Source organism: Homo sapiens, chromosome 5 (genome assembly GCF_000001405.40).
Source record: "Homo sapiens chromosome 5, GRCh38.p14 Primary Assembly".
In the NCBI taxonomy this organism is placed as follows: Eukaryota; Metazoa; Chordata; class Mammalia; order Primates; family Hominidae; genus Homo; species Homo sapiens.
This window is the reverse complement of record NC_000005.10, coordinates 179,058,420-179,084,399: the sequence shown is the minus strand read 5'-3', so window position 1 is coordinate 179,084,399 and position 25,980 is coordinate 179,058,420. Positions and strand designations below refer to the sequence as shown.

Genomic DNA, 25,980 nt, shown 5'->3' with positions numbered 1-25,980 from the left:
TTGCATCTTGGACATTTTGAATATTACGAGCCTCTGGGTATTTAATTCTTCCAGAAAATGTTAGGGTATTTTTTCCAGCAGGCAATTTAACTGGCTAAGTCTTGGTGACCAGTTCCAATCCATCTCCTGTGGGCTGTGGTTCTAATGTCAGTCCAGTTTTCTAAGTATTCTCAGTGCTATTTGGATCTTTGCCCAGTGTCAGACCCAAACAATTATCGGGTCAGACCTATATATGTATAGACCAGGGGAGAGCCCCAGATTGCATAAACAACTGTTATGAAATCACTTTCTTGACCTTCCTTATCTTTGTCACCACCTTGACACCTTCCACCTCTCAGGAGCCACTTCCTCTTCCTGATCTTCAGGTTAGAAATCCAAGGGTTTAGGTTCTCCTCTCTGCTACACACCTCATGGATACATCACCTCCAGGTCCAAGTAGCAGGAAGATAGATAGGGAAGAAAAGCAATGGGGAGTCTCCTAACCCTTTTTGGCTCACAAATCCTCTGCCCAGAGTGAAGGGTTCCTAACTCTGAGGTTTAGATGCCTGCTCAGCCATCTCTGTCCTCACCACAGGAATGCCCAGGAGCGCCACAATGATCTTGTTTCAAATTCTAGTTTCCTTCCCAAATCTGCCTGTTGTTATCAATCATTACTTTTGAGGGTCCCCAGACAGCTGCTCCATGCCTTAGTTACATTTAGCATGAGAGATAAAGTGGAACATGCTCATTCCATTTAAAGGAGAACTGGTACCACCTAGTTACTTTATTGCCAATGATTACATCCCTGGAGGATAAACTCTCAAACAGGAACTTCCTAAGAATATAAATGGAGAATTCTGATTGAAAGATTAATATTCATCACTTCTTTATCCAATCACTTTTTGCATTTTTATTAAAAATTGACACACATAGAAAAATGTTTTAAATGACCAATGAACATCCACCACATATAGATCCACCACAAAAAACAATTGACTGATTTTGTACATATTTATTTGAAAATATGCTGTCAACATCATGACTTTTCAAAACTTAAAAAAAAAACTTCTGCATGCATCTCCTAAGAATTAGAACATTATCCTACGTAACTCAATTATCACTTCTAGAAAAATCAAATATACCACATTATCTACTACCCATTCCATCTTCCTATTTCCCCAAATATCCCCCCAAATGTCTCTTATAGGTTTTTTTATGAATCAGAAGCTAATAAAGGATCACACTTTCCATTTGGTTATGTCTCTTGTCTTAATCTAGCAGAGACCACTTTTTGTTTTACTACATTTGCTTTTTGAAAAGTCCAGACCAGGGCCAAAATGCACAAACTATGGCTTACAACATCACACCCCTGCGTAGGGCCAGTGGAATGTGTGCAAGATCAGTTTGGCTTCATTAACTATGAAGTAGGGGATAGCAAGAAGCTCTTTTTCCATATGAAAGAAGTTGAGGATGGCCTTGAGCTCCAGGCAGGAGATGAGGTGGAGTTCTCCGTGATTCTTCATCAGCGCACTGGCAAGTGCAGTGCCTGGAATGTTTGGCGAGTCTGTGAGGGCCCCAAGGCTGTTGCAGCTCCTCGACCTGATCGGTTGGTCAGTCGCTTGAAGAACATCACCCTGGATGATGCCAGTGATCCTCGCCTAATGGCTCTTCGTCAGCCAAGGGGACCAGATAACTCAATGGGGTTTGGTGCAGAAAGAAAGATCCGTCAAGCTGGTGTCATTGACTAACCACATCCACAAAGCACGTCATTAATCCACTATGATCAAGTTGGGAGGAATCTGGTGAAGGTTTCTGAATATCTCCCTCTTCATCCCTCCCGAAATCTGGAATACTTAGTTCTTTTGAGCTATTACACCAGTTTTAACAGCTTCCTCGTGTTATGTTTAAAAAAATAAATTTAAGAAAACCATTTTAAAATAAATATATAAAAAAAAGTCCAGTTGTCCTATACCAACTCTGGACTTGTCTATTTATTTCCATACTGTGTAATTCAACTTGTTCCTCTATTCCTGTATTTCTTTAAACAGGAAGATAAGTCTAGACAAAAGATTTAATTAAATTTGAGGTAAACATTTTCGGCAGTACATCAAGGATGATCACACATGCTTCATACCGCATCCCATCAAGAGCCACATAATGCTGGCTTATTCCAGAAGTAGTGAAATGCAGTTTGATAGCCAAATCTCACTGTAAAGGCAATTCTTTTGCAATAGATATCTGTGATGTTCTGACACCTTGTAAACAAAGTTCCTTAAAATTTTTTCCACTTAATGGGTTTTACCATCGATTTTTGCCAGATTTAATTACATTAAGGGTTGTAAAATGGTAATTTTTCCAAATCTATCATTCCATGTACATTTAAAAGAAGACATTCTTCAAATAATTGTATAGAGTTTTCTTTTTTCTCTACTTTCATCATTATGAACTTCTTTTCCTTCTTAGTATTATCACCAGTAAGAGTGATTATTCTAAGTTGTCCTAAATTTGGCCAGTGAGAATACCTTCAACTTGGCGCCTGTTCCCTTCTGACATTACCCCATTAGTCTTCAAATACTATCTTGCTTTTTATTTTATTTTCTTAATAAAAAGTATTTTAGCCACACCACCCACTTCCCCTGCTCCAAACATGGAATCAGCCATTTCTCCAAGGAACCCTGGTTCCTTTTAGTGGGGAATGGCATTTAGAAACCAAAATTTGGGTACTAAGCATGCTCACCACTACTGGGTACAATGTTAAATAGTGAGGTCTGTTTAAAAGCCTCATTTTCTTTGTAAATGTATTTAAATACATAAAATAATTACTTTCTGATAAGCTAAAACCAGTCGGTTAAGAAATATACTATACTGACTGCTTGAGTTTAATTCTAACATTTTTCTCAGAAGGTCTAGCTAATTGTATTAGAATTTTTTTTAATGATACCAACTGTGAATTGAATGAAAAATCAAATATAAAATTGGAGGAAAAACGCCTGGGAGGAATTAAACATTTAAACTGATGAAAGGAATGCTTAATAATAAACTCTTCATATATAACTTTCCATAAAATAATTAATTCCTAAAATATGTGTAATAAGAAGGCAACCTTATATGTGAAGCCTCCAAAAGCAATTACACTATCTGGACCTCAGCTAGCTTTAAGGATTTAAGTACAATTATAACAAAAGCAGGCATAATTAGGGACTCATAAGAAAAAAGAATATAGTTGTGAGTCAATTATTAAGATTAAGGTGAGAGGAAGCCCTTAAAGATAACACAGTAACTTTAAATTACTGCAACTATGTCTAACCAGGCTACAAAACAAATAGTACTCTTGGGACCTCAGGTTGGAAACGAGCCTATAATGATCACAAAACACCAGAACCAAAGACCTAGATTCTAGTCTTGACTCTGTTCACTAAGTTCAAATCCTTCGTTAGTACAATGAAAGGCTATAATTAAACTAAAATCTCTCCTGGCTCTAATGAGCTACCAGACATGCAGCCTGAGATTCTGCCAAATACATCCCTTCTGCAACAGATAACAAAGTATGTGCTTGACAGTCTTTCCAGCTGCTTCAGTTAATCCGCCTTCTACGGTACTGTAATAGTACTCTGTTCAGTTATATAAAACCACATCAATTTAAGAAATAATGGAAGAAAGTAAAAGAAAGAGAGTCTACCTTTGGGCAAGATTTTAAGAACTAAATTCTAAATCAATAAAACTACATTTTTTAATAATAAAGGACTTTTATGTTTACACACACACATGCATATGTGTATATATGTATGTTTACATATATAAGTTGCTGGTGGGACAGCTCATATAAAGAGCTTTATTATTTCCATGTGAAGAGTTAAATTTAAAATTCCTTTTTATGTTTAGCTTCTCTTTATGAAAAGAAGTGCCTCCTATGTTAGCCAGCTATTTTAAAGAAGGCCACACACTTATTTACATTATTAACTCAGTGACTGTTTTTAAAAGAAAATTCACATATTGAAGCTTACTCTTTTAAAGGGAATATGGTCTTATGAGAGAAACAAAATGTATATTCAACTATTTTTCATGATTTTTAAAAAGACCTTTTACATTTTTTCTATGAATTAAATACTCATAGGTTTTTAGATACCTTAGAATTTATGGTTCTTTTAAAATTTAACAAGTCAGTGCTCTTCATAGTCTCACTGATCAATTTTATCATGACTTAGTGGCAACTAACATATTTCCTTCAGGAGAAGTAAAAAAGACAAATCTATTAGGAGTTTGTACCCTATTTATTATTCCCTTATTCCCCAGTGAGAAGTCTTGGATTATTTGAGAGATGAACTAAACCTCATAGGCTTTATCTCCTTTAAAAAATCTCTGATACTGGGTAAGTGAGGAGCTGCAGATGAAAGGTTTCCCATATTCCTTCCACTTATAGAGTTTCTCTTTCGTGTGAACTTTTTTGTGTCTACAAAGGTTTGATCTGTAACTGTAGGCTTTCCCACATTCCATACATTTATACAGTTTCTCTCCAGTGTGGATCCTCTCATGTTCGGTTAAAAATGAATACTGGCTGAAGGCCTTTCCACACTGATTACACTGATACGGTTTCTCTCCAGTATGAATTCTCTGATGCCTATAAAGGTTAGATTTGCAACCAAAGGCTTTCCCACATTCCTCACATGTATAAAGTTTTTCCCCAGTATGAATTTTCCGATGTTCATTAAAGGATGAATACTGGTTGAAGGCTTTCTCACATTCGTTGCACTGATAAGGTTTTTGTCCAGTGTGAATTCGCTGATGTTCGATAAGGGTTACAATACGTGTGAAGGTTCTCCCACATTCCAAGCATGTATACAGTTGTTCTCCAGTATGAAACCTCTGATGTTCAGCTAGAGATGTAAACTGGCTGTATCCCTTCCCACACTCACTACATTTATAGGGTTTCTCACCTGTATGGATTCTTTGATGCCTGTGAAGTTTTGCTCTACAGTTGAAGGCCTTCTCACATTCGCCGCATTTATAGAGTTTCTCTCCAGTATGAATTCTCTGATGTACAGTGAGGGTTGAACACTGGCTAAAGGCTTTACCACATTCCCTACATCGATACGGTTTCTCTCCAGTATGCACTCTCAGATGTTTGATAAGGGTTGAACTGTTGCTAAATGCCTTCTCACATTCATTACACTTGTAAGGTTTCTCTCCAGTATGAATTCTCTGATGAGAAAGAAGGGATGATCTGTGGCTGAAGGTTTTTTCACACTCATTACATTTGTAGGGTTTCTCACCTGTATGAATTCTCTGATGTTCAATAAGATGCAGATTCTGCTTGAAGCTCTTCCCACATTCATTACAGATGTGAGGTTTTCCTCCTGGGTAAATCTGGAAGCATTTCATGAGATCAAAATTCTGTTTAAAATCTTTCCCAAATGTATAATACATATTGGGTATCCTTTCTATAGGAACACTCTGTTGTGTGACAAGAGCTGTATTTGTAAATAAGCTTTTCCCCAATTCAAGACTTGTATGGTTTCCATCTTCACTGATGGTTTTCTCATGCGAATCTATCATTTGTCTAAGAGGTTTCTTCTCTTGCTCTTCTTCTATCTCGCTCTCAAATTCCACAGCTTCTTCAAAGTTAATGTCCCAGTGACCATCCTTAATGGATTCTTTCTTTACCATTCCCTGAGATGTTTCTTCTATAAAAATGTCCTGTCTATGAGGCAATGCTTCTGTTTCAAGCCAAGTCTTGAAACCTAAAATGAATCAGAAGAATTAATGCCTCCTCTGCTGGAAGAAACAAACTGATGTATCGGTGAGACAAAAAAACTGGTAACAGTATATATGAAAGAAGAGTGATACAATCAGATTTCAAATGCTGACTTGAATCTTGGGAAGAACAGGATGGGATAAAGGAAAGTGAGGTAAACAGGTTAAGGAATGGCATGGGAGAATACACTGGACAAATTAACAATGAAAATGAAGCGATTCCACCTGGATATAGTAAAGTTAGATGCAGAAGAACAGGCTGAGTAGAAGATATGAGGATACAGAAAAATGCCAAATGATAAGCCCACGCTGAATACCATGGGATACTCCACTCTGTCATCATTTTCCACTATGCATATACCAGGCAATGAAGTAGGCAGCCTGTCCACCTTCTCCTTCTTACTCACATGTCCCTTTCATTACGTTTTCTCCCCATGCTCTCTCTGAAACTCTATGCCCGATAATCTTTTAAATATTTGGATTGGTTTTCTTAAATTTCTTTACTTCATGTGACTGTGATTTTATATTGTAGTCTGTGAAGGGGGAAACAGTCTGTTAAAGAGAAGACAGGCCGGGCGCGGTGGCTCACACCTGTAATCCCAGCACTTTGGGAGGCAGGTGGATCACCTGAGCTCAGGAGTTTGAGACCAGCCTGGAGAACATGGTGAAACCCCGTCTCTACCAAAAATACAAAAAATTAGCTAGGCGTGGTGGCATGTACCTGTGGTCCCAGCTACTGAGGAGGCTAAGGTGAAAGGATCGCTTGAGCCTGGGAGGTGGAGAGTGCAGTGAGCTGTGATCACACCACTGCACTCCGGCCTGGGTGACAGAGACTCATCTCAAAAAAAAAAAAAAAAAAAGGAGTGGGGGGACATTCAGGTTTTGAAAATCACAACAGCCCTGCAGCATGACTGTGATGATTCTATGTGATCGAAGTTTAAGATGCTCATTATAAAAAAGAGGAAAACATGGAGTAAATCACCCCTGTGCAACAATCTGTCCCTGGTGATTGGAAGAATAACAATTTTTTTCATATTACCTTTCTTTTTATTTTCCTCTTTTTATTTTATCACAAAGAGAGACATATTCATTTCTTCTAATAAGCTGCAACCAAAAGACTGCACTCTCTTTGTAGGAATCTCTTGAGAATAATGAAAATCTGCAGGAGATTTGAAGTCAGTATGTCTTAAAGTCCTGAAAAATGCCCAAGCCCCAAGCTCAGCTTTGATTCTGGGTGAAAAGATTTAGTTCGAGGTGACTCTAAACTACTCTCTGTTAAAACCTGATTTCCTTTCATCAATCCATGATAGAAAATAGGTTAACATTAGATAACTGCAATTAGGTAATTGTGTGTACTTTAACCTATACAACTCAAACAAAATACAACTGGCCTGAGCATCTCAAGAGGACTCAGTATTTCCAAGAGTTTCCCAAGAACTGCCTCTTTGTGACCTACTTGTCTATAAAGAACCCCTTGTGCCCATTTCCCAGCCTCTCACTTACCTAGACGGGTATCTGAAGGGACTTCTCTTTCCACCATGCAGGGATCTTCTCCTTGCTGCAACTGATGAATCAACTTTGGCATTGAAAATGGAATCCCTGCTCATGAGGAAGCAAATGAAGTTTGAACAAATAGCATGAAGACCAATCCTAGAACTGACCTACTACTCACTCTGAACCAACACAGCAAAGAAGGCAAGCCCTGAGAGGCAGACAAGGCAGCACAAGCACTTCGCAGGGGCACTGGAGCTGTCAATGGCCGGGGAAGGTCTCAGTTCAGAACCATTATAGGGCCCTGACAATGAAGGCCTCTAAGATGGGGGGTCCCTATGTGTTTTTCAGAATCTAAACTGGGATCTCTAGTCATTGGCCTACTCCAAGGAGGGAACTGATTGGCGGTAGGATGTGAGGGAGAGTGGAGGGTAGAGAAACAGATAGCAAGAAGGGCATCACAACAAAGATGTACACTTTCCACTCTACAGCAATTCAGCCTTTCTGAGGGGCTCAGTAGGGTACAAGACCACAGGCTCGGAACCCCAAAGATGGACCTGTGAGGCGTTCCTATAACAGATTCTTCGTCATAGGCAAAAATTCTTACCCAGTGAGACCAGGCTGCTGTAGTTCTCCAGCATCACCTCCCGGTACAAGGCCCTCTGGGCAGAGTCCAGGTGCAACCACTCGTCCTGGCTGAAGAACACGGCCACATCCCTGAATGTCACAGGCTCCTGTAATGGCAAACCCATACCTGCTCACCCAGGACCATCTTCTTCAACGGAAAATGCAGGAAGAAAGTGACAGTGGGATGTACAGAAAATCTCAGGATTCTAATAATTCACGTCAACTGTTTACGTAATTTTTGGAACCACCCATTAGCTATTTAATTAAAAAAGTATTTATGGAGTACTCATTGAGAACAATGACACATGCCACGTGCAGTGGGAGTAGGGGAAAACAGGCAAAGTTCCTGCCAACAGGCAATTTAAATACCAGCCTGGGATCTTTCTCAAGAGAAGGCGATGTGATGACAGAAGCAGAGACTGGAGTGCTAGGCTCGGAAGATGGATGAGAGGGCCACAAGCCAAGGGCTGCAGGGAACCACTAGACGGTGAAAAGGGCAAGGAAACAGATTTTCCCCTGAGAGCCCTAGAAGGACCCAGCCCTGCCGACAGCCTGACCTCAAGCCAGTAAAACTGAATTCAGACTTCTGACTTCCAGAACTGTAAAAGAATACATTTATGCTGTTTCAAGATGCTGCATTTGTAGTAATTTGTTACAGCAGCAATAAGAAAGAAATACAATGTGAACAATTGAAGACAACCTACATATCTATCAATAAGGGAATGGATAAGCAAATTTCAGTACATTTATTCCATGAAACGTCATGCAGCCGCTAAATAGAATGAGGTAGATCTCTATGACACTGGAATTTGACCTTCATATATTATTGATTCATATGAAAAAGCCAGCCACAAAAGAATCTATATTTGTTGAAAAACTCTACATCTGTATATACATATATATGACACATGCACAACTATCTGGAAGGATACAAGCTGTCACCCTCGTTATTCTTTGATATTTGTGGAGAGGGGCAGAAAAGCAATCTTTCACTTATTACTTTATGCCCTATCATTAGGCTTACAGTTTTTTACAGTTAGGGAGATTGTGTGTATGTATGTGTGTTCCTTTGCTTTGAATTTTCTTAAATTCCATTTTATTTTATTTTATTTTATTTATAATTTTTTTTTTGAGATGGAGTCTTGCTCTGTTGCCAGGCTGGAGTGCAGTGGTGCAATCTCAGCTCATTGCAACCTCTGCCTCCCAGGTTCAAGCAATTCTCCTGCCTCAGCCTCCTGAGTAGCTGGGACTACAGGCACATACCACCAGCTTATTTTTTTTTTTTCTTTTTCTGAGACAGAGTCTCACTCTGTCGCCCAGGCTAGAGTGCAGTGGCGCGATCTCAGCTCACTGCAAGCTCTGCCTCCCGGGTTCACACCATTCTCCTGCCTCAGCCTCCCGAGTAGCTGGGACTACAGGCGCCCACCACCACACCCGGCTAATTTTTTTGTATATTTGTAGAGACGGGGTTTCACCATGTTGGCCAGGATGGTCTGATCTCTTGACCTCATGATCCACCTCCTGCCTCAGCCTCCCAAAATGCTGGACTTACAGGTGTGAACCACTACACTTGGCCTATTTTAACTTATATGTTGACTTTGTAGTTAGACCTCTTTGTATTTTTAGTGGTTACTCGAATAATTATAATGTACATTTTTGGTTACTCATCACCTATTTAGAGCTAATATATCGTTTCACATAGAATGCAAGAATCTTGCAAGTATATAGGACATCACCACCCTTCTTTATGCTATAGTTTTACAAAGATTTTCCCAGTTCAGAGAGTTGACAGCACTTACCAAACTTCACTGAGCGTATTCATGTCAAGGTTTTTATTGAAAGGCAAAGGGTACAGCACAGCAAGAGAAAGAGAGTTCAGGGAAGCACTAGAAAGCCAAGAGACACTCCATGTGCTGTCTCCCTTATTTGCACAGACCACGCCATGACTCTGGGTCTGTGTGAAGAATCTTGGTGTGGGAGAGCTCAAAGGAGGAACTCTCAGCAGGGGCCTTTTTATGTAATCAAGCAAGTCCTGTCAAATCATTTAGGCCAGTTGCAAGCCATCAGTAAGGAAGCTTACCAGGAGTAGCCAGTGGCATTGAGATCTTAAAAATACACAAGCCAGGCCGGGTGTGGTGGCTCACGCCTGTAATCCCAGCCCCTTGGGAGGCAGAGGTGGGCGGATCACCTGAGGTCAGGAGTGCGAGAACTTCCTGGCCAACACAGTGAAACCCTGTCTCTACTAAAAAAAAAAAAAAAAGTACAAAAATTAGCCAGGCGCGGTGGCTCACACCTGTAATCTCAGCACTTTGGGAGGCTGACGCGGGCGGATCACGAGGTCAAGAGATGGAGACCATCCTGGCCAACATGGTGAAACCCCATCTCTACTAAAAATACAAAAATTAGCTGGGCATGGTGGCACGTGCCTGTAGTCCCAGCTACTCGGGAGGCTGAGGCAGGAGAATCACTTGAACCGGGAGGTAGAGGTTGCAGTGACCCAAGATCACACCACTGCACTCCAGCCTGGGAGACAGAGCGAGACTCTTTCTGAAAAAACAAACAAAACAACAACAACAAAAACTTACACAAGCTGATGGCTGGGTTCAGTGGCTCACACCTGTAACCCTAGCACTTTGGTAGGCCAAGGTGGGTGGACTGCCTGAGCTCAGCAGTTCAAGACCAGCCTGGGCAACATGGTGAAACCCCATCTCTACTAAAAATACAAAAAATTAGCCAGGCTTGGTTGCATGCACCTGTTGTCCCAGCTACTCAGGAGGCTGAGACATGAGAATTGTTTGAACCCAGGGAAGCTGCAGTGAGCCAAGATCACACCACTTCACTCCAGCCCTCTGTCTCAAAAAACAGAAACAAAAACAAAACAAAAAACAAAAAACAACAACAACAAAAAACCATGCTGCCTTTATCTTGTTTTGGCCAAGAGTCAAAAAAATAGACCACCAAGAATTCCCAGAGATAAAAATAGAGCTTTTCTAGAGAAAAAGATAGAGCTTTTCCAGTCCAGATGTAAATAAATTCTATCTTCATGGTGGTTATTTGTATTATAGCTGCCTACATTGTAAACCCCCTCCTATAATACAATAGTATTATTTTGCTTTAAGCAATCAGCTGCACTTTAAAGAAATCGAAAGGAAAAAAAGTATTTTATATTTATCCAGATAGCTACCATTTCTAATGCTCTTCATTCTTCCTAAAATCAGAGTTCCCCTCTGGTATATTTTTCTTTTAACTTACATAACTTCCTTTTTAGTGTATCTTATAGTACAGGCCTGCTGGCAATGAATTAGCTTAATTTTATTTTACCTGAAAATGGCTTTATTTCATCTTGATTCTTGAAGAGTATTTTCATTGGATATAGAATTCTGGGTTGATTTTTTTTGTCTCTCTCTTTCAGCATGTAAAATGTCATTCTATTGCTTCCTGGTCTTTGTTGTTTCTGATGAGAAGCCAGCGGTCATTCAAATATTGATTCTCTGTATGTAGTACAATTTTTTTCAGCCTCCTTTCAAATCTTTGTTTTTTGTGATTTCTCTATGACTTTCCCCAATATGGTAGAAACCAGCTAGCTATATGTGGCTACTAAGTACATGAAATGTGGCTCTTCTGAATTGCGATATGTTATCTGTATAAAATACATACCAGATTATTTACTTAAAAACATACATACACACACATACAACATATACATACATACATACACAAACATATATGCAAGTTATCTCAATAATTTTATATTGATTTCATGTGGAAATAATATTTGGATCTACTGGGTCAAAGAAAATATATTATTAAAGTTAATTTATTTGCTTCTGTTTACTTTTTTAATGTAGCTGGTGGAAAATTTTATATTAGGTATGTGGCTTGCATTCTTGGTTCACACTATATTTCTATTGCATGTCACTGATCAATGATGTGTGTAGCTGTGACTTCCTTTGTATTTATCCTGCTTGAGATTCATCAAATGTTATAAATCAGTAAATTTATGTTTTTTACCAAATTTGATAAATTTTAGGCCATTATTTCCTTTTAATATAGTTTGTCCATTCTTTGTCCCCTCTCCTTCTAGAACTCTAATTTCATGTATATTAGACCTTTTAATATCATTTAATTGGTAACTGAGGGCCTTTTTTCTCCCTGTTTTTCAGATAGGATAATTTCTGTCAATCTACCTTCAACTGTCACTGACTTCTCCTTATGTTCATTTCCAAAAGTTAAGCCTATTCAGTAATTTTTTTTTTTTACAATTTCAGGTATCTTATTTTTCAGTTCTAAAACTTCATAGTCTAGAATTACTTTTTTCACAATCTCTATTTCTCTGCTTGCATTTCCTATTAGTTCATTCTTTACATGTATATTTTCCTTTAAGTCCTTGAGCACAGTTATAGTAGTTGCTTTAAAATCTTTGTGAATTCTAATATCTGGGTCATCTGGGTCATTGTCTCTATTGATTGTCTTCCTCTTGAGTTTTGGTTACACTTCCCCATTTCTTCATATGCCTACCTTATCCTGGAAATTGTACAGTACACAATGTGTAGAAACTCTGGATTTTGTTATGTTCCTTTGAAGAGTACTGACTTTTTTAAGCAGGTAGTTAATTTAGTTGGAGTCAAATTCCGAACTCTGCCACCTCTCTAGTGGGCAGCATCAAATATCTTTGTTCAGTTCTTATTTGGGCTACTTTGAGTCTGTCCTGTGCATGTATGGTTCAGGGGTCAGCTAGAGATTTGGGCAGAGTTTGTGCACAGAATCTGGGGCTTCCCTTCTCTGCCTCTCTCCTTTCCAAGATTCCTCCTCTCACTTTCCAACTGCTAAGTTTGCCTCAAACTCTATCTTGTGGTTATTCACACCAGTAAGACTGCAAGTTTGTGACTAAGTTTTGATTATTCTGTTGGTGCTGACTGTGGCCTACTCCCAGGCAAAAAGCTGTAAAAAACAGAAAATTTATCTGGTGACAATTCCTTCTTCCAAATATACACAGGTGTCTAATATCTGTCTGCTTTTGATTTCTCTCCAGTACCTTAAGGTTTCTTATATTTTATCCAGAGTGTAGTAGTTATCCACAGATGAATTAGTCTGAAAGGAGCTATTTCTCTATTACCAGAAGCTGGAAGCACATGTATCTTTTTGAAAGTATATTTTAAAAAGTAAAAAAAAAAAAAAAAAAAATGAGCCTGGCAAAGTCATTAAATATTAAGAAATGATAAAATGACCGACTACTAGAACTCCAGACCTGAAACACATCTTATCAATCATCTCATCCAGTTGTTCTCGTTAGCGTGTGGTATCTCCTCCCACCTCCCTAGAGTGAGTAGCAATGTGTGAGGGTGTTTCATTTTTCACAGTGACTAAGGGAGTCCTGCCGGCATTTAAAAAAAGAGATCAGGGTCAGGCACAGTGGCTCACGCCTGTAATCCCAGCACTTTGGGAGGCTGAGGCAGGCAGATCACGAGGTCAGGAGATCAAGACCATCCTGGGTAACACAGTGAAATGCCGTCTCTACTAAAAATACAAAAAAAAATTAGCCAGGCTTGGTGGCAGGCGCCTGTAGTCCCAGCTACTCAGGAGGCTGAGGCAGGAGAATGGCGTGAACCTGAGAGGCGGAGCTTGCAGTGAGCCGAGATCGCACCACTACACTCCAGCTTGGGCAACAGAGCAAGACTCTGTCTCAAAAAAAAAAAAAAAAAAAAAAAAAGAGCGATCAAGGCTGCTAATCATCTGGAAATGGATGAGAGAGTGCTGCATAAGGAAAGACAACTCCACTCAAAATGCTTATAATGTTCTCACTTAGAAACACTTGTTGTCTAAGCTGTATTTTTAAAATGCAAGATGAGAATCTGGGTTGTGGCAGGTGGCTTTATAAGAAGATTATAAGAAATGTGAAGTTTGTTTTAGGTTTCCAGCAATAGAAACTGACTTTGGCTCATTTACACAAGAGACCAGGTAGCTCCAGGGAAACTGATAGTCACAGAAGTAGGCTTGGAAAATAAAACAGAAACTAGGGCAGCAACATTCCGGACCACAGCCAGGATCACACTAGGAAACCAGACTTGTGAGAATACTGTTGTCATGGAAAAGTAGATGGTACAGCCTCACCAGCACAAGACAGCTACTGCTTTTGCTGTGCCACTCCTCCTTCCCCTACAAACTCAATGTTACTGATGTTGCCACAAATTACCAGACTGTACTCGATATCAGAGGCCCCCAAGCCTTTTGGCACCAGGGACAGGTTTCGTGGAAGACAGTTCTTCCACAGACAGGAGGGTTGGGGGAATGGTCTCAGGATAAAACTGTTCCATCTCAGATCACAGGCATTAGATTCTCATAAGGAGCACACAACCTGGGCCCCTCACGTGCGCAGTTCACAATAGGGTTCATGTTCCTATGAAATCTAATGCCGCTGCCGATCTGACAGGCGGCAGAGCTCAGGTGGTAATGCTCGCTCACCTGCTGTTCACTTCCTGCTGTACCGCCTGGTTCCTAATAGACCAGGAGCTGGTACCGGTCTGCAAAACTGGGGGTTGGAGACCTTTGTTCTCTTCCTGTTTCCTCGTAGCTCTAGCTCCTGACTGAAAGTCTGAAGTAGGTCAAGCTTGGGTCACAAGCCTGTACCTTATCTATAATTAAAGCTAGAAAAGTAAATATCTGGTTTTTTTTGTTTGTTTGTTTTTGAGACAGAGTCTTGCTCTGTCGCCCAGGCTGGAGTGCAGGGGCGCAATCTCGGCTCACTGCAAGCTCCGCCTCCCGGGTTCACACCATTCTCCTGCCTCAGCCTCCCGAGTAGCTGGGACTACAGGCGCCCGCCACCGCGCCCGGCTAATTTTTTGTATTTTTTAGTAGAGACGGGGTTTCGCCATGTTAGCCAGGATGGTCTCGATCTCCTGATCTCGTGAGCCACCCGCCTCGGCCTCCCAAAGTGCTGGGATTACAGGCGTGAGCCACCGTGCCCGGCCTTTCTTTTTTTTTTTTTTTTTTGAGATGGAGTCTTGCTCTGTCGCCCAGGCTGGAGTGCAGTGGCCAGTCTGGGCTCACTGCAACCTCTGCCTCCCAGGTTCAAGTGATTCTCCTGCCTCAGCCTCCTGAGTAGCTGGGATTATAGGCACGTGCCACAATGCCCTGCTACTTTCTGTATTTTTGGTAAACATATTCTGCCTGGCAGTTGGTTGAAAGAATTATCATCAGTAGAAAGGAATGTCTGGGTCATGATAACGGGTTGTGGAGACCTAGGTTTTGTCAGGCAGATGAAACCTCCAAGTAGCAGGCTTTAGAGAGAATAGACTGTAAATGTTTCTTATCAGATTTAAGGTTTGTGTAGATATTAATGCTGGAGGGTACAATGAGGCTTGTCCAACCCCTACTTCCTGTCACGGCCTGAACCAGTCTTTCAGGTTAAATTTCAAGGGCCAAGGAGGAAGTCCATTCAGACAGCTGCAGGGGGCCTTCTAATTTTATTTTTGGCTTCCACCCCTATGCCTCAGAATGTAATAATATTTGGAAACAAGATCTTTAAAGAGGTAATTAAGTTAAAATGAGGCCTTTAGGCTGGATCCTAATCTAATACCGGCATGTGCTTCTAAGAAGGGGAGATCAGGACACGGACACGCTCATGCGCAGGAGAGGCCATGTGGCAGGAGGCAGCGAGAAGGCAGCCATCAAGCAGCCAAGGAGGCCTCAGGAGAAGCCAGACTTGCCCACACCTTGATCTTGGACTTTTGGCCACCAGAACTGCAAGAACACACATTTCCATGGTTGAGGCCACCTCGTCTCTGGTATTTTGCTATGGTGCCCTGGCACACTAATACAGGCTCCGTGTTGCTGTTAACAGGACACTCACAGCAAACCCAACTTCCGTCTTTACCACCAATCCCGTTCCCCTAGGCCTTAGAATACTTCCAGGAAAAAAAAAAAAAAAGCATTCTTTTTCTTTTAAAATTTCATTCGCTTTTTAAAAAGTATACAAATTAAGCATAATCAGAGACTAAAATTAAACAAATTAAACTTCAGAAAAAAATGTCTAAATTGAAAACAAAAACACAATGTAAATCATACTAAATCCTATTACTCAAGACAACTTTTGTTCCTCTTTTAGAAATGTATTCCAGACTTTAGATCCAATTACACACACCGTGTTCTTTTGACTATTCGTTAAACAATATGAAAACAGACGCGTGCTAAAAAATAGAAAGGATGCAAAAGAACACGCAGTGCAATGTTAGGGATTCTCTCCTAACTCCAATTAGCGGCCCCATTCTACAGGTAACTAGCAGTGCTTTACACATGTATCCTTTTTTAATGGGAAAATTCTCAATCCTGCTTTACTAGCATTTCATGGATCTTTATCACATCCACATAGAGAAATCTTTTTTTTTAAACAGACAGGGTCTCACTCTGTTGCCTAGGCTGGAGTGCAGTAGTGCAATAAATCATAGCTCACTACAGCCTTGAACTCCTGGGCTCAAGTGATCTTCCCACCTGAGCCTCCCGAGTAGCTGGGACTATAGATGTGCACCATCATGCCCAGATAATTCTCTTGTTTTTCTGTAGAGCCAGGGTCTTGCTATGTTGCCCAGGCTGGTCTTGAACTCCTGGCCTTAAGCCATTCCTCCACCTTAGCTTCCCAAAGAGCTGAAATTACAGGCGTGAGCCACTATGTCCAGCCTCAAACCTCATTCTTCTTCTTCTTTTTTTTTTGAGACAGAGTCTCACTCTGTCGCCAGCTGGAGTGCAGTGGCGCCATCTTGGCTCACAGCAACCTCTGCCTCCCAGGTTCAAGCGATTCTCCTGCCTCAGCCTCCCAAGTAGCTGGGATTACAGGCGTGCGCCACCACACCCAGCTAATTTTTGTATTTTTAGTAGAGACGGAGTTTTGCCATGTTGGCCAGGCTGGTCTTGAATTCCTGACCTCAGGGTGATCCGCCTGCCTTGGCCTCCCAAAGTGCTGGGATTACAGGCTATACATATTTTAATTCTGACAAATGTGGAAGATTATACTTTCCCAAGATGACCACATCAATTTCTCTCTCATCTTACGTGCTCTTTGTATAATGTGACACTGACATTTCTCCCACCAAGAAGTGAGTTCTATGTTTCCTTCCTTTGAAGCTGTCCAGTGGAATTCAATGGAAATGATGCATGTAACTTCCAAGAAAAAGTAGTAAAATAATACACCTTTCACCTGGCTCACTGGATGCTCACTTTTGGAGCCTAGTCGCCATGTTGTAAGCCCAAGTCACAAGGAGAGATTATGGGTAGATGCTCCATCCAATAGCCCTATCTGTGATCACAGCAATGAGCCAACAGCAAGCATCAACTACCTGACATGTGAACGACTGAGGCTTCAAACGATTCTATAGCCTTTAGTCTTTAAATCTCTCAGCTGAGACACCCGACTTTGTGTGGTAAGCTGTTTCTCTCACACACCTGCATTCCTAACCCAGAGAAACTGTGAGAAATGATAAATGATTACTGTCATTTCATATTCCAAATCTTCTTACTATATAGCATGTATATCCTTCCATGTTAAAAATACAATTCTACTTGATCATTTAAAATTACAATGTAATTGGGATGCCATAAGGAGAAGAAAGAGAGAACAGAGCAGAGTGAATATCCAAAGTAATAATGGCTGAGAATTTTCCAAAATTAGCAGCACATCTCAAACCTCAAATCCAGAAAAGTCAGAGAAGGCCAAGCAGGATGACTACCAAAATATCTACACCTAGGCATATTATATGAAAACTGCAGAACACCAAAGTCAAAGGGAAAATCTTGAAAGAAGACAGGGAAAAAGATCTTACCTATAGAGAACAAGGATAAGAATGACAGTGGATTTTCCCATTAGCAACATGTAAACAAGAAGAGAGTGAAACAAAATATTTAAATTGTTGAGGGAAAAAATCACCAATGTAGAATTCAATATCCAGGGAAATTATCCTTCAAAAAGGATGAGAAGTAAAGCTCTCTCAGACAAACAAAAACTGAGGGAATTCATTACCAGCAGTCCTGCCTTGCAAGTAATAGTAAAAGAAGTTCTTCATGGGGAAGGAAAATAAAATAGGTCAGAAACTTGAATCTACCTGAAGACAGGAGGGAAGATAGAGAAGGAACAAATGATGATAACATTTTTCTTACTCTTGATTTAGAAGATAACTATTTGCTTAAATTAATAATAGTAACAGTGTATTGGGTGGTGATAGCATATGGATGAGTGAAATGAATGGCAGCAATGCCGTAAGGAAGAGGGGAATACTCTGTTATAAGACACCTCCACTACCCATGGTGCAGTATGTTATTTGAAGGTGGACTTCGATTAGTTGTAAATTTATATTGAAAACTATAGGGTAACCACTAAAAAAAAGTTTTTAAAGCATAATTGATATGTACAGACAGCAGAAAGATCCATGGTTGCCATACTGATATAAATGAATGTTTGAATAAATAAATAAATGGAGAGAAGCAACAATCCTCCATACAGATTTCCAAATAATGTATGTTGATTCTTCACCTCTAGGAGTGGTGCCTGTCTTGCCAGGCCGTAAGTGTGGGCTACACAGTGTCGTCTTTCGAAGGAATACAGTATGGGAAGGCAGAAAAAGAAAGTAACTGTAGAGTGGAGAGACTTGACAAACAGTGCCTCAGTCAGGTGATGAAGGTGAACAGCAACAGGGATGTCATGTTATTAGTATGCAATTGTAGTATGCTGTGATCAGACTGACGCTTCATCTCTGTGACCTTCCTCCCCAAAACCCAACCCCAGGCTAATAATGAGAAAAAACATCACGCAAATCACAATGGAGGGGCATTCTACAGAATACCTAATCAGGGCCGGGCATGGGGGCTCCTGCCTGTAATCCCAACATTTAGGGAGGCCAGGCAGGCGGATCACTTGAGGCCAAGAGTTCGAGACCAGCCCAGCCAACATGGTGAAACCCCGTTTTTATCAAAAATTCAAAAATTAGCAGGGCGTGATGGCACATGTCTGTAATCCCAGCTACTTGGAGGCTGAGGCAGGAGAATCACTTGAACCCAGGAGGCAGAGGTTGCAGTGAGCCAAGATCGCATCATTGCACTCCAGCCTGGGTGACAGAGTGAGACTCCACCTCAAAAAAAACAAAAAAACAAAAACAAAAACAAAAAACAACCTAACCCAGTACTCCTCAAAACTATTATGATCATTACATACAAGGAAAGTCTGAGAAAGCCCCAAAGCCACAGCAGCCTAAGAAGATGTGAAACTGAATGTCATGTGGAATCCTGGGGGGCCCTGGCACACAAAAAGGACAGCAGGTAAAAACTAAGGAAATGTGAATAAAGCATGGACTTCAGTTAATAATAACATACCAATGGTGGCTCGTTAATTGTAACAAATATACCAAATTAATGTAGGGAATAACGGGAAGCTGGGTGCAGGGTATGATAACTGTGTAATTATTCTCTCGTCTAAAATTGTTGTAAAAAAAATAAAGATTATTCTTTTTAAAAATACTGACAATATCAAAAAAGTACTTATTTACTGCAGAAAAATATGTAATTAACAAATTATGACTATTAAGCAATCAATACCAAATTCCATGTGCCTTTTCCCCAGACAATAAATTATATATTACATGGAAATATGTAATATTGCAAAGAACCTATTTTTTTCCAAAAAATATGCTTGTTTGCAGTTTTCCTAACAAGTAGAGAGAAATTTCTCCCTCGGTACCCTTAATGAGGACAGAATGTGATATTGGATATCACCATTGCACTGACTTAAATGGGGTAATGAGACCTGTGATTGGGACACTCTGGGTCCCCAGGAGACTTAATCAAAAGGGTTACATAGGCCGGGCGCGGTGGCTCACACCTGTAATCCCAGCACTTTGGGAGGCCAAGGCAGGTGGATCACGAGGTCAGGAGATGGAGACCATCCTGGCTAACATGGTGAAACCCCGTCTCTACAAAAAAAAAAAAAATTAGCCAGTGTGGTGGTGGGCGCCTGTAGTCCCAGCTACTCGGGAGGCTGAGGCAGGAGAATGGCGTGAACCCGGGAGGCGGAGCTTGCAGTGAACCGAGATGGCGCCACTGCACTCCAGCCTGGGCGACTGAGCAAGACTCTGTCTCCAAAAAAAAAGGGGGGTTACATATTGGCCGGGCACAGTTGCTCACACCTATAATCCAGCACTTTGGGAAGCCAAGGCAGGAGGATCGCAGGAGCCCAAGAGTTCCTTCCAGCCTGCAGTGAGCCGAGATCGCACCACTGTACTCCAGCCTGGGCGACAGAGCAAAACTCTGTCTCTAAAAAAAAGCAACAACAACAACAACAAAAACCCACAAAAGGATTAGATATTGAATCAGCTGTCACCCCTTCCAAAAACAACAACAACAAAAACTGGCTCTGAGTTGCAAACAAACCTACCTCTGCCCTTGGCTAAAATGAAGTAAGTCTCTCCTGCTGTGGATGTAGGCGAGCTCAGATAGCGAACAACCCTACCTTTGGGCAGCAGATAGCCCAGGTAATAGCTGGATATTCCTGTGCACTGCATTTTGCTGGTCTTTACGTCTTGGTTTCCTGAAATATCCATCTGCTTCTAATTAAGGAATCAGGCCTAGTGAGGCGAAGCACACCAAATCTGGCAGGTCCTAAAATAGTGCTGCTGCTGCTGTTACTGATACTGATCATAGTAACAGCTGGAATTTATGGAGGTCTTAATACGTGCCATGCACTTCTCTCAGCATTTTAAATGTACTTTTTCAGAGCATGATGCTAACAGTATAGACTGTCTTGTTGGGATCAAAAGCCAGCTGTGTGACCTTGATCAAGTTACTTGCTTCTCTGTGCCTGTCTCCTCATCTGTACAATCCAGATATTAACAGTCCTCTTGTAAGGATTAAATGACTTACTATATGAAAGGAATAGATATTTTTATACATAGTAATACATAGAACCTGGCTCACAGCAAATATGCTTGTAATTACTACTTTTTGGGGTTCTTTTTGAGACAAGGTCTCACTCTCGTGCCCAGGCTGGAGTGCAGTGGCACAATCATAGCTCACTTGCAGCCTCGAATTCCTGGGCTCAAGTGATCCTCCTACCTCAGCCTTCTTAGTATCTGGGACTATAGGTGCTGCTGCACCCAGCTACTTTATTTTTAATTTTGTATAGTGACAAGGCCTCACTATGTTGCTCAGGTTGGTCTCAAACTTCTGGGCTCAAGCAATCCTTCTGTCTTGGCCTCCCAAAAGTGCTGGGATTATAGGCGTGAGCTACTGTGCCCAGCTACTACTGTTACTAATGCTCATAGCAACTCAGTCATGTATGTATATTATTAACCCCACCAAAATTGAGGAAATGGGGTACAGAGAGATAAAATAACTTGCTCAGGGCTACATCCCTAGCTTGGATTTGAAGCCATGAAGTCAAGCTCCTGAGTCCACATTTCCAGCCTATGGGCTATTGGAAAAGGAGTCAATGAAGAATAGGCTTTGGAGTATGGCAGAAAAAATGCACAGAAGGGAGGGGACTAGAGGAAAGGGAGCTGGTGTTGAAGGAAAGATGGGACTTCCACGTCGGAATGACAGACAGGAATGCTAGGAAAAAGGTCAGGCCTGAGGACAGATTTGGGGAAGATACTCAGAACGCTGAGGGTTAAAGTAATGAAAATGGATCTTAAATGGGGAAAGAACAAGAAAAAAGAGCCCAGGTAGAGAGGCTAAACTAGCAGAGAAAAAAGAAAAGAATCAGAGAAGGAAATAGAGGAATCAATCAGACAGGTGAGATGGACATTTGGACAGCTTAACATCCCCGCTGCACTGGGAGGGGAAGGCCCCAGGCCTGCCTCCTTCTGGGCTTCAAAGCCCAAACCACGCTGAACTCCTTCTGGGATGCCCTTAGTCTTCTCTAAGCACCAATATCAGTCCTGGCCTCCAGTATAAACTCAGAATGCCCCCACTTCTGGGATATTTCCCCTGAACATTTAATCATGTTTCCTAAGATCGATACCACGAACTCCCAGAAGATGGAAATGACAGCTTTCCTCTTTCCATCCCGTGTGCTGCACAGGATCCTGTACATAGGGCTCAATAAATGCTTGTGGAGGCTGTCTTCCGGCCCTTCCACATCTTAGCCCCAAGTGTGACTATATCCTCTATGAAGACAGAGACTGCTTCATGCCCCATTCTCCCCACCCAGCACCAGTGTAGTGGGAAGCATATGCTCAGAACTGCCTCAAATGTGGATCACAGAGTGAGCGGGGTGAATTAAGAGTAGTCTCGGGACAAAAGAGGCACATTCCTCAGCAGCCCCTTGCTAAGCCCAAGACACTGGGAAAAACTTTTGAGGTTCCGGATTCTTCATCGTTTTGGTTGGACCAAAAAGTACCTGGACAAAGTCTGGAAACATGTCTACCATCTCTGAATCCAGAAGCCAACTGATGAAAAAGACAACCTTCACTCACTCTCACCTGAGCAGACAGCAGATCCACAGCCATCCCTTCCTCCTCAGTCTTCCTGCCCAGGGAGAGCAGAGTGTGGACACGGTGGGTCTGCAGAGGAAAAAGGTGTCAAGAGGAACCCTGGCGTCAGGAGATGGCTTGGAGAGAGGAAGTTACAACCGCCCATAATGTCCATCAGGTCTCAAAAAAGCCACCCCCCGTAATGATGTAAAGCAAGAAGAGTGTTTACTAGTTTACTAGGGCAATGTGCCAACCCTACTTCTATTTCTGCACTTGGACTCTTTAACTTCCACCTTCGGGCCTCTCAGCTACCTCTAGGCAAACCGTGACTCCCCCATGGATGTCTGGAGTCCTTCGCTAGCTTTGAACTGCACACCTAAAAGTCGCAATGAATATCCAGTCTCCTGGGGCGCCACTTCCCAGCCTAGCTAGCTGATCCTCATCCTGCCTGCCCTGCCTCACCCTTTCCTCCCTATGGTAGCCACGATAAAGAGGCTTCCCCGCATCCCTACCCTGGTGACAGACCCCACTGCTCGCCCTGAGTGGTCCTTCCGTGGAGTGCTGTGTTCTCCCCAAGAAACTGTGAGCATAATCCAACCACTCAGCTTTCCCAGCCTCTTTACTAGATCTTCGTCGGGCCTTACCACACTTTACCCAAGGTAACAGGATTAAGGCACTGTCCCCACCCAAAGCCAGAGCTTTGCTGTCCCTCCTAATACTCCACAGGTGCCGCCTCTAATGGCACCCACAACCAGAAACAGCCGTCGCTGCCCAAACACCAACCCCAGGTGGGAGAGGTGGAAACCGTGCCCGCCCCACAGAAAGCAAGGGAAGAGGCTGCCTGGGGCAGCCGGGCAAGTGTGAGGGCCTCCAGGCCCGCGATCTGCAGCGGCGACTCAGGGTGCCCCCTAGCATGGAGCCAACCTGGGGCTCTGCCAGGCCAGTTCCAGCGGGTGCCTCGACCAGCCCAGGGGAAGCTGCCACACAAGGCCTCGGTTACGCGACGAAGCGCACCTCCTCCCAGGAAGCGGTGAGTGTTTTCCACGCAGTATTTTCAATCTTCACATTTACAGATGTTACGGAGACTGAAAACCAGGAGGTCGTGACCTGCCCAAAGTCATAAGGGCCGGGAAGGCAATCCTGATCCTAGCCCCAGGCCCCAGTTACATCTGGGGCAATGACCTCGCCACTCTGCCTCGGTCTCCTCCTGACAGAGCGGGAACAGCGTACCGCCACCCTATCTGTTAGCAGGGATGCGCGGAGTTCGTTCGGGCGATGCGCTAGTCTGGTGCCTGGCACCCGAGCGCTCTCGGCGGGCATCAGCTATTGCTTTTATTATTTCCGTTACTCAGAAGAAAATGCACAGAAGAAAATCGCAGAATGAACAACGACAAAAGGCTGGCATCCCCACCCCAGCGGCCCGGCGCACCCAGCTCACCTGGCGAGGCGCTCCCTCCCGCGGGTCTCCGGCAGTCCAGGCCGCTCGCGGACGGCGCCCCGGGACCCAGTGGCCAAGGGGCCCGAGCCGCGTAGGGCTGGTCCCAGAAGCCCAGACGAGGCTGCACGCCGCCCACTCGCTGGAGAGGCCCGGATCCACCCCGGCCCGGAAGAGACCACTGCGAGCGCCTCAACCCCAGGCCGGCAATCCTAGCCAAGCCTGGATGGCCCAAGCCAGGAGAACCCCCGAAAGGCCGCGAGCTGTCCCCGAAACCCCGCCAACCGCGGGAGAACTACCACTCCCGGCATGCCTCCGGCCCCACGCCGACTACACTTCCCAGGGGACGCCGCGGTGCGCGCTGCGAACTCCGGGAGAGGAACCGCCTCCGCCAACGAGAGCTCTCAAAGGCGACAGTGCGCGGAGGGGCTGCAGTGCGAGGGAGTACGCACGCCGCACACGAGGCAGGAGGTCTCCAGCTGCTGGCCGTGCTGCCTACAGCCCGCGCACTTGTTAAGCAAGCGGAGTAGTTTGAAAAAACAAAACCGGAAATTAGATTCATTTAGGAGGATCAGTGTGCTGTAGCTCCCACCGCTGGTTGTGATTACTTTTCTGTTGATACAAAATAATTTACATAATGTATAGGGTCCATGTGAGTGCTTGTTACGTGCATAGACTGTAATGATCATCAAGTCACAGTATTTGGGGTATCCATCACCTTAAGCATTTATCATTTTTATGCGTTGGTATCATTTCAAGCCCTCTCTTCGATTTACTTTGAAATATACACAATATTATTGCCAAGTATAGTCACCCTAGTCTGCTATTAAATATTAGAAATTATTTCTTCCATCTAACTGTATGTTTGTACCCATAACCAACCTCTCTTCATTCCCCTTCCTTTCTGGCCTTCCTGGCCTTTGGTATCTATCCTCCTGTTGTCTATGTCCATGAGATCAAGTGTTTTAACTCCCGAATATAAGTGAGAACATGCAGTACTTGTCTTTCTGTGCCTGGCTTATTTCACTTAACATAATGACCTTCGGCTCCATCCATGTTGCTGTGAATACATTATTTCATTCATTTTTATGGCAGAATAGTATTCCATTGTGTCTATGTATGACATTTTCTTTACCCATTCATCTATTGCTGGTAGGTTGAGTCTATATCTTGGCTACTGCAAATAGTGCAGTGACAAACGTGAGTGCAGGTATCCTTTTCATATACTGATTTCTCTCCCTTTACCAGTAGTAGGGTTGCTGGATTGTATGGTAGTTCCATTTTTAGTTTTTTGAGAAACCTCCACACTGTTTTCCATAGTGGCTGTACTAATTTACATTCCCACCAATAGTGTATAAGAGTTCCCTTTTCCCCAAATCCTCACTGGCATCTGTCATTTTTTTGTCTTTATAATAATAATCATTCTAACTGGAGTGAGCTTATATCTAATTAGAAAGTGTTAGTAACCAAAAGAGCATGATATTTGTATAAAAATAGACACACACACCCCCCCATGGAACAGAATAAGAGAACCCAGAAATCAGTGCACCCATTTACAGCCAACTGATTTTCAACAAAGGTGCCAAGAACACACAATGAGGAAAGGACTACGTCTTTAATAAATGGTTCTGGGGAAAACTGGATAATAATATGCAGAAGAATGAACTTGGACCCCTTCTCTCTCAACATATATAAAAGTCAACTCCAGATAGATTAAAGATTTAAAGACTCCAAACTATAAAACTGATAGAAGGAAACATCGGGACAACTCTTCAGGACATTGATCTAGGCAAAGATTTTTCTTTTTCTTGCCTGTGCTTTTGAGGTCTGTGGCTAAGACCTCAAAAGCACAGGCAACAAAAAGAAAAATAAACAACTATATTAATCTAAAAAGTGTCTGCACAGCAAAAGAAACAACAGAGTGAAGCAACAACTTGAGAGAAAATATTTATAAATTACTCATCCAACAAAGGACTAATACCCAGTATATACAAAGAATTCAAATAACAGGTTTGTGACCAGCCAGGCCAATGTGGCGAAACCCCGTCTCTACTAAAAATGCAAAAATAGCCAGGCGTGGTGGTGCATGCCTGAAACCCCAGCTACTTGGGAGGCTGAAGCAGGAGAATTCCTTGAACCTGGGAGGTGGAGGTTGCAGTGAGCTCAGATCATGCCACTGCACTCCAGCCTGGGTGACAGAGCGAGATGCCATCTCAAAGAAAAAACAAAACAAAAAAAACCACAACAGTA

At 42.4% G+C, this 25,980-nt stretch overlaps 1 protein-coding gene across 2 annotated transcripts, besides 1 other annotated feature; it reads right to left on the bottom strand.

Annotated features, from left to right (window-relative positions):
• Positions 1 to 422: 422 nt before the first annotated feature.
• On the bottom strand, positions 423 to 24,027 carry ZNF354C (zinc finger protein 354C). 2 transcript variants are annotated; one of them, XM_017009409.2, is made up of 5 exons: positions 23,310 to 24,027; positions 22,305 to 22,385; positions 7,829 to 7,955; positions 7,234 to 7,329; positions 423 to 5,717 (listed from the first exon to the last, which is right to left on the bottom strand). In XM_017009409.2, the coding sequence occupies exons 2-5, from the start codon at positions 22,329 to 22,331 to the stop codon at positions 4,303 to 4,305; spliced, it is 1,665 nt and encodes a 554-aa protein (XP_016864898.1). In that variant the 5' UTR covers positions 22,332 to 22,385; positions 23,310 to 24,027; the 3' UTR covers positions 423 to 4,302. The 2 variants fall into 2 exon arrangements, with proteins under 2 accessions (XP_016864898.1, NP_055409.1); NM_014594.3 differs by having other exon boundaries at positions 23,734 to 24,027.
• Positions 23,173 to 23,708: an enhancer, noted in NCBI's record as "H3K27ac-H3K4me1 hESC enhancer chr5:178487693-178488228 (GRCh37/hg19 assembly coordinates)". NCBI's record gives its function as "activates a minimal SCP1, AML or CMV promoter by ChIP-STARR-seq in naive H9 embryonic stem cells {active_cell/tissue: H9 hESC(naive)}" and the evidence as "EXISTENCE:reporter gene assay evidence [ECO:0000049][PMID:30033119]".
• Positions 24,028 to 25,980: the final 1,953 nt, after the last annotated feature.